Consider the following 20895-nt stretch of genomic DNA (forward strand, 5'->3'; position numbering starts at 1 on the left):
TATTATTATTATTATTATTATTATTATTATTATTGCGTGAAGGCACTCAAGCTATAAGGGGTACAGATTTAAACTCTAGATTAGCATGAGCATGGCCTGTAGTAAAGAATTTCCAAGTGAGAAAGTTATTCACCAGTATTTCCACACACCCCCCACTTCCCCACTAGAAACTAGGCTGAGATAAAAGATGCTTCTCTGTCATCTCTCTTTCCTTTTGGTTGATTTCTTCTAGCTCATCCTTTCATTGAAGCACAACTCTTTGAGAATCGCGGCTTCATGCAAAGGTCTCAGTTCTAAATCCTGGCCCTGGTCAAGGAGAATACATCATTGTCTCTTCCAACGTGGAAGTGAAAACCCACATAACCCTTTTGTTATCTCCACTTCAGCCTCAATATCTGTTCATGCTTATCACTCCCCCTTTTATTTTTTTTCCTTCTTTCCGAGGATTTCTTTTACTTTAAGTTCACTGAGCATTTAGAAAGGATGATGTGCTAGGCGAATGGTACACAGAAACTTTGTACTATTTTTTTCAATTTTTTGGAGTTTATACTATCTCAAAATAAAAAGTTATAACATGGATAATGCTACATTTTCTGGTATTTTAGGGTGTTGTTAACACGGAAAATGATGAGGTTATCTTGGCTGCCATATAAAGAGATATGAAGTCTTCATTCACTTATCTGTTGGGTGCCTACTATGTGCTAGGCATTGCTGAGTGTCAGGGATAAAAATTTCCTCACAGAGCTCACATGGTAGGAGAGGAGATAGTCTAGTAAACAAAAACCTAAAATATAGTCTAATAAAGCTTTGACACAGGAAATTCAGGATAGGATATAAAAGAATTTTTAAGCTGAGGCTCAAATGATGAGCAGAAGGGATGGTTCCAAGGAACCACTGTGCAGGGTTCTAGAGGTTGTGGAGAACCCAGCACTTTCAGAGAATGGAGGCTGTTCACGACAGATAAACATGGATTGCAAAAGAGGAGCTGACCAGAGATAACTTGGGTGTCCTGTTTCTAGTAAACAATGGGATACCCTGGAAAACGCTTACCTCTATAAATCTTCTAAAATCATGCATAATATATTTTAAATATTTTAAGTGCATCCTTGAGTCACCAAGAAAGTAAGGAAACCCCCTAAAGGCTAAAAATGTAGCAGAAATGTTAATCTGGAGATGCAAACCTAGTTACTTAGGTCTTCGATTTATTAGTCACTTAGATACTGGAGACAATGTGTAGGGCCTATGTAAGGTAGGAAGTTGGAGACCTTCATATAAGGCCTTGAGTGAAAGGGTGACCTGAAATCTAGGTACACAGAAAACTTGTCTCATTTGACTTTAACTCTAGAAGGAGTGGTCAAATGTTACTCCTGAGAGTTGGTAACCACACTCGCCCCCATGCTGCTCATGAAGTCAACACAACATCAAATCAGTAACATTTTAAATTGACCCAGAGATAGAACTGAAAATTTTCGGTGAAAGAATGTGCCAGCCATCTGAACCCTAAAGGAAAACCTGACATAAAGTTTTATAACTAAAGGCTCACAATAAAAGCAAAAATCACAAAACAAAATAACACGTAATATGTTAAAAAAACCCCAAACAGGAGAAACAGATGCACATAGACTCTGAACACTGAAATTACTCAGTATAAATTGCAAAATAAATATGTCACATATTATTAAAGAAATAAAAGATTACATCAAAAGTTTAAAATTAGGAAAGAAATACCATGAAAGTGAGAGAAAATTCAGAAAAATAACCAAATAGACTTTTATAAATAAAAATATGATAAATGAGATTCAAAAGTCAATAGACAGGTTAAATATGCATAATTGGACAAATCTGAAGAGAGAACTAGTGAACTAGAAGATAAAGATACATGATATAAAATACAGAGACACAAAGAGATGAAAATATGAAGGAGAGGTTTCCCAGATAGGAAAGATTAGTGATTAAATTCCATATACATATAATCAGTAGCAGATTAGAGAGTGAAGGGCTAAAACAATATTCTAAAACATAAGGCCGGAGAGCAAGAGGAGAGCGAATTATGAAGCCTCTTCTTAAGCCATTTTAGGAAATTTGTACTTTATTGCAAGAAAATAGGAAGGCCATGAGATATTCTACTCACAGGGGAGTAAGTATTTATAAATCCATTTATAAATGGATTTCCATTTATAAAGGTTACTTAGGCTGCATTTTAGAAAATGAATCAGAGTTGAGGGGAAGCGTTCAGATTCTACCATTCAGGGAACTGCTATAGTCATCTAGGAACAGGTGGATTTTAGAAATATTTAGGCTGGGCACAGTGGTTCATTCTTGTAATCCCAGCACTTTGGGAGGCCAAGGCGGGTGGATCACCTGAAGTCAGGAGTTCGAGACCAGCCTGACCAATATGGTGAAACACCATCTCTACTGAAAATACAAAAATTAGCTGGCCCTGTTGGCGCATACCCGTAATCCCAGCTACTTGGGAGGCTGAGGTACGAGAATTGCTTGAACTGGGGAGGCAGAGGTTGCAGTGAGCCAAGATCATGCCACTGCACTCCAGCCTGGGCGATAGAGAAAGACTCTGTCTCAAACAAACAAACAAAAACAAACAAAAATTTAGGAGGCAGAATTGGCATAACTTGGTAGCCAGTTAGAAATGAGGGGTGAGGATTTTTGTATCAACTTTACCTTCTCTGTTAAGTTTGCTTGTTCTGTCTAAGCACAGTTATTTACTTTCCCCTTTAAGTTTTTTCTGTTTCATTTTGAATTTATCTCACTGTATTAAAATTTTTATGCCTGCCTCCTCCACCATGAGCTCCTCGAGGGCAGAGACTTTGTCTTATTAATTTTTGAGTGTTTATATTTTCTTCTTATTCTGTACATAGCACAGAATCTGGCAGGGATTCAGCGAGACTTGCCTCGTCAATATGTGTGTGTTAACACAGATACTTTTGCATTATAAGGGATGAGTTCAGAGAGTAGACAATTTCCAAATCACGAAGGACTGCCTCAAAAGGAGGTGGAACTTTATCCTGTGGTCAGCGGGGACCCTAACAGCAGAGTAGACCACGGTTACATTGTGTTTTTAAAAAATAACTTGAGCAACAATTTGAATAGGAGGGAGACTAGGTAGGAGATAATTACGATAGCAAGGAAAGATGATGAGAGACTGAATTGAGGCAGTGACAGTGGTAATGAAGAAGATAGAACAGAGCTACAGATTCTTCAGAAGGTACGGTGTCAAATCCTGAATTATTATTTGGACGTTGAAAATAAACAAGAAGAATGAATTGGTGAATAAATCCTACTTCTAACTTGGGAGCTGCTGGTACTCTTCAGCCAGATGTGAAATTCAAGAAAGGGAGCAATTTTAGGGATTAAGTTGGTTGCTATGGAGTCTGCAGGTGTGAATCACTGTGAATCCTGAAAATCACTATGGAGCTGTGTCAAACACCACCCAGTTGCAATGGAATATAGGCTTCGTAGAATACCAAGGTGGCAATGTCAAGGCATGTGATTCCAGCTTAATTGTTTTCCCTTACAGACACACCTTGCCTTAAATATAAAGCTTCTATTTCTGTGTCTGGATGTTCAGTTATTTCCAAATATTGTCCTGGCCCTTCCTTCAGCATGCTGGAGATCTGAAGCCCTGCATATAGCCACCAAGAGGTACACTTACTTCTACTTCCTGGCAGAAGGTAGCATTGGGTCCATATTGTAGCTGGCACTGGTGGTGAACATCATAGATCACTCCGGGGGCAATGACCTTGGACTTCAAGCCTTTCTTTTTAGGTATGTCATCAAGACAGAACCCCCAGCCTCGGCTGAAAACAAGTTAACAGAAATGAGAGGAGTTGTTTAGGATTCCCTTTACCTTCAGCCTTTCATTCAACAGAAACTTCCCTCTGGTTTACTCTTTGTCCTTTAAGACAACTTTATTTTTTACAAGGCAGAGAACTCTCTAGGCCCATCATGGGAGTTATTAAAGAAAATGCAAATCATATCCCACAACATAAGCTTAGTTTATCTAGAAAATACAAGCCATGGTAAAATTAGAAAATCATTATCCTACTCTCAATGAGGTTTGAATGACCACTCTTATCTCTGTTGGGTGTTCCTGCCAGTTCCCAAGGACTTAATTCATAATTGGCTCATAGAAAGCTATTTTGGGGCAGGAGCAATCTGGGATGGGACAGGATGCTCACCTGCCTGTGACAAGAGGGCAGAGCCCATCTAGACCTCAGGATCAGAATGCAGAAGTGAAATCCGCCCCTTCTGATGCCACCCTGACATGGTGGCCTGTGGGATGGAATCCAGCCTTTTCCAGGCATCAGCTTCTCTGTGTAAAACTCAATGCAGCTTCCAATTTAAAGAGACCCAGGTGAGGGCGTCATGAGACACTGTCACTTACTCCAAGAAGCGGGTGATGTACTCCTCGCTGCACTTGGACCATGTCAGCGGAGTGGGATCGTACTGGAGCTGGCGGGACATGATGTACGGATGTCTGCCCACAGGCTCACAGTCATTTTCTTTCCCATCATGCTGGATGCCGAAGCTGGCAGGGAAGAACCAAGCACAAGAAGAGCCAGCAGGCAGGCATTAAACAGGAAGAAAAACCATAGTTTCCCTAAGAGCGTAATAACTCACAGACAGCCACGTTTGTACAGAAGGCAACTGTTTGCAAAGTGAGACTTTGAAGTCGGAGGGGCATAGCTAATTTTCAAATGAAAAAGGACAGGGAGCATTGTAGGCATGCTTTACCTCAAATATGCATCCATGGGAGTCATGCAGCTAATTCAGAAACTTCTGCTTGGCAGAAGGCTAAGAGCTCTGTCTGGCTTTCTTTCTATGAATCAGGAGTCAGGAAGGCAAATCCTGCCCCCAGCTATTTGCTTTCTCCTGCTGCAGCAACCACAGTGCACAGCACAAAAGAACAAAACCTTCCTTCTCCCTTTTCATCAGAATTTAAGAGACAGCATGAAAGGAGAAGCCTCTGGGAGACTTTGTCAAAGCCTACAAGCTTTGAGGGATCAATGTCTTTCTACTATTGCTACAGGAGTCCTCCTAATTCAGTGTTAACAGCAGGATTTTTAAGACAGATGATCTGTATTTGAACTCCAGCCTTGCCACTTAAATGACCTGTAAATCATTAAAACTTGCCTCATTTTCTTCTCCTAGAAGATGGGGTAGTCATCCTAGTGCTACAATGAGATCTGAATAGAATAAAGTTTGAAAACAATTTAACAGGGTACCTGGCAGATAATAAGGGCTTCACCAAGGATAGAATTTTTTTAAAAAAACATTCTTGTTTTCTTTTTATCATGATCTAGCTTATTTTCCTTTTCCATATGAAAAAGTTTAGACTTTGAGATTTGTCAACAATCATATAGCTTGTTAGTGGTAAAACTAGGTTTCAGACACAGATCTTTGGCTCCTAACACAGTACTCTTGTCCATGTGTCACTTGGTCTGTTCCCTGACCTTCCATTGCCAGGGCTGACCCAGTGAAGCAGCCTTTAAGGGCCTTGAAAAGCTTAACCATCCACCATGGCACGAGGGTGCCTAGGGAAGAAGACAATTCAGAAGCCTTTGTTTATAAGCCACGTTCTCAAGATCACCCAAAGACGTTTTCTGAGATTCCCAGAACTCTCTCCACTGGGGTGGACTTTGAGACACTAGACATTTAAACCTGGAGACATTGGCTTAAATTTCTAAATCTGTATGACCTTTTACTCTTTGTAGTGAAATTCAACTCGTCTGACTGGGAAGCTCATATCCAACTTTAATGAAACCTTCTGATCAGTATTAGCAACTCTTGCTGAGAAGAGTCTTTGGGGGATTTGGAGATTTTCTTGTGTTTTCATGCATTATGGTATTATCAATGTACTTAACAAACTCTAATCACATTCCACATGAATATAAAACTCACAAAGGAGTCAGAGAATCAATGTACAAAGCTCTTACCACACACCCACAAAGAATGTGGTTCAACGAAAGCTTCCTTCTGAGCAGGTTTTCCCTAGCCTGCTACAAATCCAGCCCCACCCAGAGCATGAGGTACTCTACAAGTTTGACTGTTCAGTAGTTAAAATCCTAAACTGCAAGCAAGGTTCTAAAAACCTACATGAATAATGATCTTCTTATCTGTGGATATGTCGATACACCAAGCCATATAATCTAGGGCCCTCACAAATGGATTTTTAAGTTTTCTCTCAAAATAAAAGTAAAATTATTCACTTGGGTGATAGCACAAGTTACTTTCTCTTTTGCATTATACACAATCAGTGATGAAACAAACAAGTGTGCAAAAAACAAAGGGATATCTTTGTTATTAAACTATGATGGGTGTCTTCTTGGGATATTGTTTTAATATATTTTTCTCCTTATGGTCTGTCCCAGGCCATTTCGTTGATCTCGCCAATGTTTCTTAGTTTGATCCACAGCTAATTAGAATTATACAACTAAAAAAGAAGTACCTGAGAGGCACCTTAACAGTTTTTTTCTATTCTTTATTTTTATAAGTTTGGGGGATACATGTGCAGGTCTTTTACATAGATACATTGCATAACACTGAGGTTTGGGCTTCTAGTGTACCTATCACCCAAATGGTGAACGTTGTACCCAGTAGGTAACTTTTCAACTCATTCTCCTCCCACTCTCCCCAGCTTTTGGAGTCCCCAGTGTCTATAATTTCCCTCTGTATGTCTATACATACTCATTGTTTAGCTCCCACTTGTAAGTGAGAATATGAGGTATTTGATTTTCTAAGTTATTTCACTTAGGATAATGGTCTCCAACTCCATCTATGTTGCTGCGCAAGACATGATTTCATTCTTTTTTATGGCAGTGTAGTATTCCGTGGTCTATATATACCACATTTTCATTATCCAGTCATCTGTTGGTTGATTCCTGACTTTGCCATTGTGAATAGTGCTGCAATAAACATACGAGTGCAGGTATCTTTTTTACACAATAATTTCTCTTCCTTTGGGTACCTAACCAGTAGTGGGATTGCTGGGTCGAATGATAGCTCTAGTTTTAGCTCTTGAGAAACCTCCATACTGTTTCCCATAGAGTTTGTGCTAATTTATATTTCCAACCACAGTGGTGTATAAGCATTCTCTTTTCTCCACATCCTTGCCAATAGCTGTCCTTTTTTGATTTTTTAAATAATACTCATTCTGATTGGTGTGAGATAATACCTCACTGTGGTTTTAATTTGCATCTCTCTGATAATTAGTGATGTTGAGGATTTTTTATATGTTTATTGGCCACTTTTGTGTCTTCTTTTGAAAAATGTCTGTTCTTATCCTATTCCTACTTTTTAATGGGGTTGTTTATTTTTTCTTGTTCAGTTGTTTGAATTCCTAATAGATTCTCGATATTAGTCCTTTGTCAGATGTATAGTTTACATATGTTTTCTCCACTCTGTGGGTTGTCTGTTTACTCCACTGATTATTTCTTTTGCTGTGTAGAAGCTTTTTTGTTTAATTAAGTCCCATTTGGTTATTTTTTGTTTTGCTGCATTTGCTTTTAAGGTCTTAGCCATAAATTCTTTGCCTGGACCAAAAGAGTTTCTTTCTTCTAGGATTTTTGTAGTTTCAGGACTTACATTTAAGTCTTCGATCAATCTTGAGTTAGTTTCTGTATGTGGTGAGAGATAGGGGTCCAGTTTCATTCTTCTGCGTGTGGCTATCCAATTTTGCCAGCACCATTTATTAAACATGGTGTCCTTTCCCCATTGTATATTTCTGTAGACTTAGTCAAAGATCAGTTCTCTCATTGTATATGGGGTCCCCCACATATACAATGATGTTACTTGCAAACAGGGATAGTTTTGTTTCTTTCTTTCCCATATGTATGCTTTTTATTTCCTTTCCTTATCTTATTGTACTGGCTGCAACTATTAGTACTATGTTGAATAAGAAGTGGTGAGAATGGACATCGTTGTCTTGTTTTTGATCTTAGGGGAAACATATTCAGTGATTTAGCATTAAGTATAATATTAGGTTTAAATTTTTTGAAGATGTTCTTTATCAAGTTGAGGAAATTTCAGTTTCTGAGTGTTTTTATGATGAATAGATGTCAAATTTTGTCAAATGTTTTATCTACTAAAATTAATATTAATATAATCATGTGGTTTCTCTTGTTTAGCCTGTTACAATGGTGGATTATGCTGATTTTCAAATATTGAGCCAGCTTTGCATCCCTGAAATAAATCCCACTTGGTCATTGTGTCTAATTCTTTTTTTCTTATATTGCTGAATTCTACTTGCTAATATTTTGTTAATTTTTTTACATCTATATTCCTGAAGGATATTGTTCTTTAGTTTTCTCTTTTGCATTGTCTTTGTCTGAAATTAGTGCCAGGGTAATACTAGCTGCATAAAATGAATTAGAAAGTTTTCCCTTCTCATGCACTTTATTTGGTTTATGATTCTTGGTTGTCGACAGGTCTTTTCTTTTAACATTGAAAAATATTGCACCTCTTCTTTGGGCTTCCATTGTTTCTGATGAGAAATCCACTGTCACTCAAATAGTTTCCCTCCTATAGATGGGGTATCCTTTCTCTCTTGCTGCTTTGAAGATTTTCCTTTCTCTTTAGATTTCAGAAGTTTAATTATGATAGGCCTGGGCATGGATTTTCTTTGGGTTTAACCTGGTTGAGTTTCTCTCACCTTCTTAAATATGTGGGTTTATGTCTCATCCAATTTGCAGAATTTTCAGCCATTTGTTCTCTGAGCACTTTTTCAATGCCATTGTCTTTTTCCTCTCTTTCTGAGGCTCCAATGACATGAACGTAAGATCTTTTGTTATATTCTCACGGGTCTCTGAAGCTCTGTTCAATTTCTTTTAGTCTCTTTCTCTTTGCTCATACAGATTACATAATTTCTATTGTTCTATTTTCTAGGTCATTAATTCTTTCCTCTTTCTCATCCATTCTACTGTTGAGCCCTAGTGTTCACTGAGCTTTTTATTTACATTATTGCATTTTTCAGTTCTACATGTTTGACTCTTCTTCATGTCTTTTATTTCTTAGCTGACACATTATTTTTTCATTTGTTTAAAGGTTGTTGATAATTGCTCATTGAAGCTTTTTCACCATGGCCGCTTTGAAATATTTGTCAGCTAATTCTAAAATCTGTCATCTCTTGACATTCTTTGTTTTCATTCAGTTTGAGATATTCTGGTTCTTGGTATAATGAGTGATTTATATTGAAACCTGGAGGTTTTTATATTATGTTATGGATCTTATTTAAATCTTCAGTTTTAGCTTGCTTTTCTGACACTACTCTGGAGGGGAAGGGAGTGGGGCCACTGCTTCAATACTGCCAAGCCTCTATAGGTACCTGAGTTGTCAAAGGGATGGCTCCTTGTTACTGTCTAGGGGTGGATGAAATTTCTGGCTCCCCATGTAATCTGTCCTGACACCACAGGGGTGGGGCTAGGGGAGCCCTCATTACTGGCCTGTAGGGATCAAAGTCTTAGTCCCTAACTGGTCTTTTTGACACTACCCAAGTAGTGGTGTTTGATGCTTTGTTATAGCTTCACACAGATGCAAGTCTAGGCTTCCCACTCAGACTTTTCTAGCATAGAGCCACAGTTGTACAGTTTTTTCTTTCCTTTGCTGTTCACCTGGAGTAGAAGAGTTACTGTCTAGAATTTTCTGCCTTGTTAGACTGTCCCTTTCCTACTCCTTTGGATAGAGAGAACAGGCGTATGTGGGTGATTTTGTGTGTGTGTGTGTGTGTGTGTGTGTGTGTGTGTGTATTTCCAGGTTGTTGCCATCATCAGTTCCAAGTCTGGCATATATGAGAGAAAAGAAAAGCCAGGGAATTCACCACCATGTCACTCTTCAGGTTCTGTGGTCCTCAGCCTGTCTTCCTTCTCTCCATCTTTCAGTCTTCCTATGTTTGTTTTTGATATAGTGTTCAGTGTTTTTCATCATACTTAGTAGACGGCATATGGAAAAGTATGTATATTCTATCTTCCATGACTTATAACTTTCTAAGGGGCAGCATTTAATGCCCCTGAGTAAGTTATTGGTAACAGATGCTACTGGTACCTGTTCATAGACTCACTACTAGCTGCCTTCCAGCTGCTAGTATATGCATCTCTTTACCTGGGATTTCTCCAGAGCCAATTAGACTGCTCTGCTGAAAGTATCAAGGAATTATTAATAACAACCTCTGGGAACAGCCTCTAACCAACAACTTAAGGGTGTTGGTATATAAAACAGCCCAGTTCTTCTCACGTTGGGTAGGGTAACTCTGAAACGTGTGTTGTATATCGTTCTTGGAGTTTGTCCATGGGATTAAGGTTCAACTGCTCAGAGTGGAAGCTGAGATAATGAATTGTTTATTGTCTACCTTCCCTGTTCTGTTTTACACCCTACTTCCCTACTGGTATTTCCTTTACCTTCCACATAAATTAATTGCTCTCAAATCCTTGTCTCGGGGTTGACTTTTTTTTTTTTAGTTTTATTTATTTAATTTAATTTAATTTAATTTAATTTTACTTTAAGTTCTGGGATAATGTGCAGAATGTGCAGGTTTGTTACATAAGTATACATGTGCCGTGGTGGTTTGCTGCACCCATCAACTCATCATCTAGGTTTTAAGCCTAGATTATGCATTAGGTATGCCCCGAATGCTATCCCTCCCCTTTCCCCTGAACCCCGACAGGCCCCAGTGTGTGATGTTCCCCTCCCTGTGTTCATGTGTTCTCACTGTTCAACTCCCACTTATGAGTGGGAATATGAGGTATTTGGTTTTCTGTTCCTGTGTTAGTTTGCTGAGAATAATGGCTTTCTGAATAAACTCAAAGACGGTTCTCTAGTTCTGCCTTCAGTGTTCTTTAATTCTTTTACTTAGAAACTTGATATTTAGTTAGAGGTTTTTTTAGGAGCTAGATCCTCACTTTTTTCCTGCATAATTTGAAATAGAACAATAATAACAACAAAAGTATAGGATAAAGAAACCTTATAGTAGTTTTATTTCCACAATGCATCAGATAGTTCTGAACGAGTGTTCAGTTTAAACTTACTACAATATCAAAGTGATTCAGGTAGTGACTCAGTTCTAGTCTGTTAAATAATCCACCACTCCCAATAACTACTAAACATCTACCACTATTTGTTTTTAAGTGTTCGGAGAAATTGTGCCCAAGTAATGTTACCATGAGGTTCTTAACTTTATTAGAGAAAATTTGAAATCTGGAAGGAGGATCATACTTGCCCTTAGCTTTGTTTACTTAGGTGGCCTTCCTTACAAAGGTGAAGTGTCCATGCCCAGGAAGTTAAGTCCATGATTGCCTCAAAAATTGGGCAACATTGCTTTTGAAGGACATGCTTAACATATTCTTGTTACAAGATCAGGTTGAACTTGAGGATAGAAAGAATCCATCCTTGGAACACAAAAAGTGAGGATTCGAAAATGTCTTTTATCAAGCAAAGTCTTTTCCATTTCTCTTTGGTTTGAGTATACCATTGTTGGGATGGCTTGAGTGATAACTTCTCAGTTTGACCCAGTTACAGTCACCTAGCATTGTTTGGCCAGCAGGTACTGTTGACAGCAATGTCTTGACTGAAGGCCACAGGGGCCATGTCCTTCCACATTTCAGAACTGGGGACTCCTGTCTGTTTGTGCATAACAATAACTTAACATTTTGCCAGGTTTTATTATCGACATGCCAACAACTATGGCCTAGCCTCATCAAGATGGCCAGCTCCCCTGCATCCCTAATTATTATTTAATGAAAGCAAGTCACTTAGCTTCTCTATCTCTGAATTTTTGATAACTAAGGATACTGGAATATACCACATTTATAACCAAGGCCTTTTTGGTGAGAATCCAATAAATCACCTTAGATATTGCCTAGTTCAACCTACTCATTTTATAGATGAGGAAACAGGTATAGAGTGGTGAAGGGAATTATCTAAGGTCATAATATTGGTCAGTAGAAAAGTCAGAACAACAATTCTGTTTCTCCAATTCTCAAAGCAATGCTCTGGCTTTATAATGTAGGTAAAATTGTTTTAGAAAGTCCAAATGTTATATTAGAAAAATGGTGAGCAAGCTGAAACTGGAGAGGCCAGGCCTGGAATAATTCAGTCTCCAGTGTTTTTTCCAATCCTGCCTCTTTTCTAGTTGTGCACTAAGAATATTCCCCAGCATTTTTCCTTCTTCAAAGGGAGGAGATCCAGGCTGGTGGATACATGACAGGCAGGGGATATAATTCAGCTGTTCATGTGCCTCCCCACCCAGTTTCCTATTAGTATGATGCTCTCTTATTTGTGGTTAGCAAATATAACAGCAAAGAAAGTTACAAATAAGCTAAGAACTTTCCTCCATGGAAACCTCTGATATCTGGTGAATTCAGAATCTCATTATATCTTCACTCAAGCATTCTGAAACCTGCCTTCAAGGAATTCACCTAATCAAATTCACACATTTTTGTGAACAACTTGGACATCCAGTTAACTGGTGTTCACATTATAGTCTTTCCAAATTTACAGCAGTTTTCCATTTTTTATTTATTCCATGTCCTCCTTTAATAAACATAAGTAAAACGGGACTAACAGTACCATCTATTTCAAGAGGTTGTTAAGCAGATTCAATGATGCAATGAAAAGCACAATGGCACAAAGTAAGGTGCAAAAATGTTAGGTTTTATGGCTTTTTAGTGATATTAACATTATCATTTCATAAGAACTAACCAAGGGTTATTCCTCAATTAAACAACTGAGTTCAAGCTTATCTCTGCCCTTCCTCCATTCTAATCCAGAGAACTGGAGTGGCCTATTTGGTTCTGTGATATGTGTGAGTATACATGGTCTGGGCAGTGGAGACAATGGAGCCCATGAGGTGCATTACTATCCCCACTTTACAGATGAAAGCAGAGGTTGAGGAGGGTGAGTCACAAGCCACAGTATAATCTGAGTCTCCTGACCCCCAATTTGAGGTGTGTTCACCTCAAATTCTCTCTGCTGATATTGACACATGAATATGGTGAGCAAACCTCCCTATCATTGGCCCTTTACCTGTGTCCTAGCTCATGGGCAATTGTGAAAGCCAGAGGGAGTCCCGAATCTTCATTGATGTTACAACTGCGGTGAGGCTGACACATTCCTGAAAGGTGAGACAGGCCCAGGGTCTCGCAGGGGCGATTGAAACCAGCACAGATGTCCTTTCTGAAAGCAGAGAATACAGAAGCTAAGGCGCCCAAAGGAACATCTGGAAAAACCTCCTGGAAAAAAATCTGGGTATAAACTCACATTCAATATGGTCTGTAAAGTATGCTTGGCATTTTTTAAAAAGTCTACATGAATGTAGGCAGCAATTTTGAATTCACTGAGATGATTCTGATTTTACCTTTTGATTACTGAATTTCACCAACACAGAATGTGGGAAAATATAGCAAATGTGTTATTTTGAGCTTATTTTGCTCTGGATCTCGGGAGGTCAAATTACATGATTTGGCCAACAAAAGATTTTATTGAAAACTCAAGTTAATTTGAAGTTTTAAATAGGGAAGGAACAATCAGCAGTGACTGGAGTTTTTCAAATATGAAAATCCTTTTTAGTCTTTCTGAGGTCTGTGTTCAAAACTCATCTAAGAACTTCTTTTTCCCATTCATGAAAAAGATAGTTGGTCCCATCAACCTATCCAGAGATTTAATACTTGTCTATCCAGCCCCATTCCACTAACAATATTGCATATATGAGAGAATGCATGCCTGTGTGTGCATGTACATCTAGAATCTCAGAAAATACTAATTATGGCTTTTAAATAGAAAAAACATGCTCCCATAAACTGGTAGAGATTATTTCAATCACGGACAAGACTTTTGAAAGAGTCACTAATTAGTCACTAGGTTTTCTTTAGCACAAAAGGAGCTCTTTGCCAAGAGGGACTAGCAGAAATGGCCACAATGTTATGAGCTCTAGTTAATTGAACACCAGCAGCTAACGGGGTTTGTGTGGGCACCATTTCTAGCAGCAAATGGTCTGCTTTTTTCATCCATTGGGACATGGAAAAGATCCAGACTTTGAGAACCCATGTGAATCTTCAGTTCTCCAGGTTGCAATGGCTGGGGTAATAGGACAGGAAAGAGCAGGCCCAGTCTCAGCACATGCACCACAAACTCAAATCCGCACTCTCACTAGCAGCAGCAGTTACTGGGGGTTCAGTACTGGAGAGCGAGATTATACAGCCCAGTCATTTACGTAACTTCTAGGTCTGTAAGAGAACCAATCAAACACTTTTCTACCCCTGCTGCAGAATGCACTTGTTATTATTTCATTCAAAAAGTCCAGGTCTGTGTGAAGCTGCTGGAAAAAGATGAATGGTGCTCATTGCTGATCCCCTGACTTTCTCATTTTGATATGGCAGGAGGTCAGGCACATTAAATACTGATTATAGAGTGCCTCTGAAGTGTCCAGCACTAAAGAAAAAAGTGGCTAACAAAAGAATTATAGGAACATGGTTCTTACAGGCCAGCAGCTTAAGCTCTACTTCCACCATGCACTGGGGCCACTATGTAACAGAAAATATGCCTTGGCTTGCAGCAGCCACTAGCTGCACATGTGGAACCCACATTGGGTGTGTTTCATGCCAAATCTTCCATCTACTGAATGCTGTTCTGTAGAGAACTCTGTTAATGTGGATCTCAGGATAGTCTCTCAGAGGCAAAGCTCAGTCTCATACCTCCCTCCCTTCGTGATCCTACCTATCTTTTCAGGCAAGTGGTTTTCAATGAGGGTGGGTGATTTTGCTCTTCACCCCCTCCTAAGGGACATTTGGCAATGTCTGCAGACAGTTTCAGCTGTCAGAGCTTGGAGGAGAGTGCTACTGACATCTCATGGGTAGAGGCCAGATATGCTGCTAAATATCTTACAATGCACAAGATAGGCCCAACGACAAAGAATCATCAGCCCCAAATGTTAATAGTGCTGAGGGTGGGAAATACTGCTATAGAACTTGAAATGCTCTCCACTGTCTAGGAGCTGTTGAGGTTCAACACACTTTTATGCAAACAGACCCCTGTCCTAAGGAAGGAAAGTGACTATAAGAAAAAAAGGAGATCAGATCCTTCGTATTCATATTGGGTAATAGCTAAGTTATGGCTGTTGGGGTCAAACTACCTGGACTTAAGTCCCAATTGTACCCGTTAACAGCAATGAGATTTTGGGCAAGAGACATAACCAAGGTTCAGTTTCCCTATAATGTAAAATATGAATGATTAATAGTAGCCAACTACCAGTGTCCTTGTGGGAAGTAAATGGAACAATGGCTGTTCTAATAGACATAGCACAGTGCCTGGTCCATATCAAACATTTCACACATGTAAGCTATCATTAACTCACTCATTTCTTCAGGTGAGAATGACAGGAGCATCTGAATCTGCTCTCAGGGGAAGGAAAGACTTTCTGAGACACAACTTAGTGGGCAATGCCATTCCCTGACTCTGGGGTTCTTCCCTACAGAAGTTTCTGTCTGACTGAAGCCTTCACCTGGCCTCTTGATCAGGTCCTCGGTGTCCCCAGGCTGTCTGCTAGCTCCCCAGAGTCCCCGTGCTTACATTCCACACCCATGCTATTTCCCAGGGGACCTATTGATCAACCCAAGGTGTCTTAGAACCTAATGTACCTACTGTCACAGGCTTATGTCAAAAACTTCCTGTGGGATACATTCACATTTAACCAGCGTTTGAATACCTTCACTCAAAAGAGTGATTCTGATGACTGGAGTTTTGGATCAGGGCAAGGTAGACATTTGGATAGGGTGGGGGCTGATTATCCTTCCTTGTAGGGATTCTATGCATTGAGATGATCTTATCACAGGGACAGATCACAGGGCCAAAATGTTCATGGGCAGCCTATCCTCCAAAGGGACAGTGCACACCAAGGGCCTTTCAGTGCTTGAAGTTCTCTGTGGTTGAAGGGCAGGGCCAAGAGGCCTCCTTTACTATACATACCTGGATTTCTGGACAAATAGGCATACGGAGCCCAAGAAGAATTTACTTTACCCCATTCTAATATAAGCCCTTCTTTCATCTAGATTAAAATAGTGCCTAGTATATAGTAGGTGCTCAATAAATATTTATTGAATCAATGAGCAAACATAGCCTTCAAAGAGCAAGAGTTGATCAAGAAAGTTCATTGGATTTTTACAGCTATGAGTCCTGGAAGGTTTGATGGTTCTTATTAGCACTATAGGCTCTATTGTGATTAGAACAAAATGATATTTTCATGGGAGAAAGATGTAACCAAACCAGTCTGCCTACTCAGCGGGGACCTGCTCCTCATATCCTATCCTCAGCATCAAACAGTTAAAAGGTGTACAGATTTCTGTAAAGATATTTCATGTTTCTACATTGGAGAAAAATAAAATAGCAAAGGATTGGAAATCCCACTGGTTAAAAGTAACAAGAGTCTTTAATGAGGCTCTGCAAGCAAGCTTCCTGATTGTTTATAGAGCTACATGAAGAAACCAGTTTTAAAAAGGAAATCATCAGTGGGATAGTAAAGAGGCCTGCATTTTGCCAGCAGATGCAGTTTATTAACAAGGAGAGCTTTGTCGTATTAGCAAGTTTGTTAAACTGTTTCCTCTACTGATAGGGAAGTCAGGAGTTGACTAGATCAAAGACACTGTCTTTACAAGAGCAGCAAAGAATAGTGAGAATGTCATGGGTTTGAACACCTGGTAAGCCTTTCACCTGCCATCCCTCCCTGCTTTACTGCCCCTGGGTTTCATGTAGTCTCTGGTGTACCTGGTGAGAAGGACAGCCACGTCGTGATGAACAGGATTGAGGTCACTCTTGGGATTGATACTCTTCTGCCACTTGCAGAAGCTAGACAGTGTCTTTTCTGCATGGTGAACTATTTTCAGTCCTTGCTGGAGAAAGAAGAGGAAGAGATTAGCATGGGAGAGCTCACTGTGGTCAGGGACCATTGCATTAGGCATTCATCTCCAGAGGTGTCCAAGTGAGATGAATTCAGGGTGGGTGCATCAGACATTTGGCAGTCATGTGGCAGAGGCCAACTGACTCCTCTTGACTAATCTTCTGGGTTAAACACTCCCATTCTAATGACCTCCACTAGAAGAACCTGAAGGGGAAAACTCCAAGACAGAAATTATCCCTGGGACAAGCAGCCCTTGAAGAACATTTAAAAATATATTAGCAATAACCAAAAGCTATTTGAAGGTCTATTTCTGTGTCTCTCTGCATCCTAAACCAATGCAATATCAAAGAGGCATTTTTATTTCTAATGCAAAATAAGCAGATTTTCAACAAAAGTTTTTTCTTCTCATGAGACATCCTGCAAGGCTAGAGTTGCACTGGATGTTTTCTAACCCTTGAATTTTATTTTGGTTTGACACCCATGGGTGAAGGACAGTGGATGACATAATCTCTCCAGGCTGCTGACCAGTTAGGAGAATTGGTCCTCTGACAACAAGTAGGATGCTGTAGCAGATGCCCCCAGCCTGCAGCTTCAAGGGCTTCTGAGGCCTATGCCAGCCCTGTGGCATCTGCCTGGCTGGTAGCTACTACTGGGGCTACGAGGGAAGGGATTACTCCAAATTATCTGGATGAACACTTGCTGAATGGGGAGAAGAAGAAAAATAGTCAGCTCTTTAGTGGCTCCGGTTTAATTTGAATTTCTAAAGGAGAAATTACTTTCCCTTGCCTCATTTCTTTGGGGCCTCCACATAGAGCCATCCCTGGTACAGGATGGATTCCACCAGGAGGATGACTAACCTCCACTGGCTCACTCTCATCTGAGCCTTGCTCTGGGCTCAGTCCAAGAACTTCAGGACAGTCTCTGCATGAAATTATGAGCTTGCTTCTCTACCATTCTGTATTTTGCTGAGGCCCACACCCAAATCATAAAAGGCCCGAGGGGCATCAGTTATGTGTTAGAGGCATTTTTAGGTCTCCTCGTCATAAGTAACTATTATAGACCAGTTTCCTTTTGTGAAAACACCGAAAGGTGGCTCATCACGTGCTAAAAGTCACTGAGCTGCTCAGCATAAAGAATTTAGATGGAAGACACTGACTTCATTATTTAATAATTTTCATTGTTACATCACCCAGCAGAATGATATATGGTAGAGGAATTCTGGGGGACGAGCTGGGAATGAGGGAGTCGGCCTCCAATTCAACCAGCCAAGCTGTTGCTAGATTAACAGCCCTCCCTAGATGGGAGCAAACGTGCCCACCCATCATAAAAAACTGGTCAGGTGGCATGAATCAGGAATAAAGGGAAGGGATAAGAGAAAAGGAAAGAAAAAAAGGAGGGAGGAAGGAAAGGGAGGAGAGAAACGAAGGAAATATTTCTTGATCATTTACTATGTGCCAGATGCTTTTACATACGCTGTCTCTTTTAATTGCATCTACTCAGTATTATTTGTAAAGAAGGCATTATCATTTTTATTGTATAATAAGGGAAATTAAACCTCAGGGAAGTGAAGAACTAGATCAAGATCACTTAGCTCAGATACTGAGTCAAAGAATATAAAAAAGGTTCCTAGATAAAACTTGGAGTTGCAGTTGGTCATCAACCTCACTGGGAAGGTGCCTCAGTTCCAGCTCCTTCAGACAGGAAGGCATGTTATCACATAAAGCATCAACTATGATCAGATATTTTTCTGGTCTGTTTTTAACCCTACATTTCTTTGTTATGTTTTGGGAGAGGTCTCTTAGAGAACACTCATTAATTTAACATTACCATTTACAATTACCAATAGTATTACCACTTATAATTGTTACAAAAAGTGAAATACTTAGGTATAAATTAACAAAACATATACAGGATCTGTATCCTGAAAATTATAAAATGCTGCTTAAAGAAGTCAAAGACCTAAGTCAATACAGAAACATACTGTGTTAATGGATTTGAAGATTCAACATAATAAAGACATCATCTATTCTCTCAAGCTATGAATGCATAGCTTTACCCGCAATTCCTATCAAAATCTCAGCAACTCTATTGTAGACACACACAAGCTCATTCTAAAATTTATATCAAATTTATTTAAAAAGTTCCAGGCCTCAGGTTAGCTAAAGCAATTCTGAAAAAAGAAAAATAAAGTGGAACGTATCACTTTACCTCATATTAAGGCTTACTATATAGCTATAATAGTCAAGAGAGTGTGCTATAGGTGCAGGGATAGTCACATAGATCAATGAAACAGACAGGAAACACCAAATGTGACCCACCTAGATATGCCCAACTGATTTTTGACAAAGGTAAAAAAGCAATTCACTGAAGGAAAGACAGCCTTTTCAATAAATTATGCTGGATAGCAAGAAAACAAATAATCCAATTGAAAAATGGGCAAAGGACCCGAATAGGTATTTCTCAATGGAAGACATACAAATGGCCAACAGATACACATATAAAAATTCAACATCACTTATCATCAAGGAAATGCAAATTAAAACTACAATATGATATCGTCTCATACCTGTTAAAGTGGCTACTATCAAAAAGATGAAAGATAAGATTTGGAGAGGTTGTGGAGGAAAGGAAACCATTGTACACTGTTGGTGGAAATGTAAATTAGTAGCCATTATGGAAAACAGCATGGAGGTTTCTCAAAAAATTAAAAAAAGAACTACCATATGATCCCAGAATCCCATGGGGTATATATCCTAAGGATATACAATCAGTAAGTCAAAGAGATACCTGCCATGTTCACTGCAGAATTATTCACAATAGCAAGATATGGAATCAACCTAAGTGCCCATAGACTGATGAATGGATAAAGAAACTGTAAGGTATACATATCATATATATTCCATTATATATATATGGAACAAACGTGCCCACCCAACATAAAAAACTGGCCAGGTGGCATGAATCAGAAATAAAGGGAAGGGAAAAGGCAAAGGAAAGAAATATATATATATAATGGAACATTCATTATTCAGCCTTAAAAGACAAGGAAATACTGCCATTTGTGACAACATGGATGAACTTTGAAGACATAAGTGAAATAAGCCAGGCACAGGAAGACAAATACCACATGATCTCACTTATGTGGAATCTATAAAAGTAAAACTGAGAAGCAGAGATCAGGGGCTGGGGGAGGAGCTGGGAGAGGTTTGTCAAAGGATTCAAAATTTCAGTTTAGATAGAAGGAATAAGTTCAAGAGATCTATTGTACAACATGGTGACTGTCATTAATAACAATGTACTGTACTGTATATTTGAAAATTGCTAACAGAGTAGATTTTAAGTAGTCTCATTACAAAAAAGAAAGCATACAAGGTAATGTATGCGTTAATTAGCCTGATTTAGCCATTCCACCGTGTACACATATTTCAAAACATGTTGTCCACCAAAAATAAATACAATTTTTATCAATTAAAAATAAATTTAAAATGTATAAGAGAGAAAGAGAGAAATCAAGAAGAGGGACCTAAACCAAAGCCAAAGCCATGAGCAACAGCCAAGAATTACACAAAATGTGAGAGAAAGACTTCAGGTGGAAACCACAGATGTTGTGCCAAACCTCTATTAACCTCAATAGGGAAGGCATCAGGTTCAAGAGACTGAAGAAGAGACCCAAGGCCAGCAAATGAGATACAGGGTTTTATTAGGGGCTTATGTGATGGGGAGAGGGTCCAGTGGTGGGCTGGACAATATATCTGCCTTCCCACCATCGATCCCTCTGCCTCCCATAAAGATTTATGGGGATCACATCTCTCAGGGGGAAGATGAGGCAGGAAAATGGGTCTAGAGGCAGGTAAAACATTCACACTTCGGCTACAACAGGAAATATCGTCTCCATAGGGCATATGCCATAAATGACTTTGTAACTTTACTTCATCCTCTCCATTTACATAGGGCGTATCCCAAGTAACCAACGGAATCCTCTAAAGGGTATTTAAACT

General features: G+C 39.3%; 1 protein-coding gene and 1 pseudogene across 5 annotated transcripts in view; both read right to left on the reverse strand.

Moving 5' to 3' along the window:
- ADAMTS12 (ADAM metallopeptidase with thrombospondin type 1 motif 12) overlaps positions 1-20895 on the reverse strand; it is a 368456-nt gene that overhangs the window by 121617 nt on the left and 225944 nt on the right. For 4 of the 5 annotated variants that reach the window (NM_001324512.2, NM_030955.4, XM_017009905.2 and 1 more), the window contains 4 exons: positions 16765-16889; positions 13033-13182; positions 4403-4546; positions 3671-3815 (listed from right to left, as the gene is read on the reverse strand). In NM_001324512.2, coding sequence (NP_001311441.1) covers positions 3671-3815; positions 4403-4546; positions 13033-13182; positions 16765-16889 — 564 coding nt within the window. Of the gene's footprint in view, positions 1-3670; positions 3816-4402; positions 4547-13032; positions 13183-16764; positions 16890-20895 lie in introns of those variants that run through there. The other variant, XM_017009907.1, reaches the window with a different exon arrangement.
- On the reverse strand, positions 10959-11525 carry ST3GAL5P1 (ST3GAL5 pseudogene 1; annotated as a pseudogene).

Source organism: Homo sapiens, chromosome 5 (genome assembly GCF_000001405.40).
Source record: "Homo sapiens chromosome 5, GRCh38.p14 Primary Assembly".
Lineage (NCBI taxonomy): Eukaryota > Metazoa > Chordata > Mammalia > Primates > Hominidae > Homo > Homo sapiens.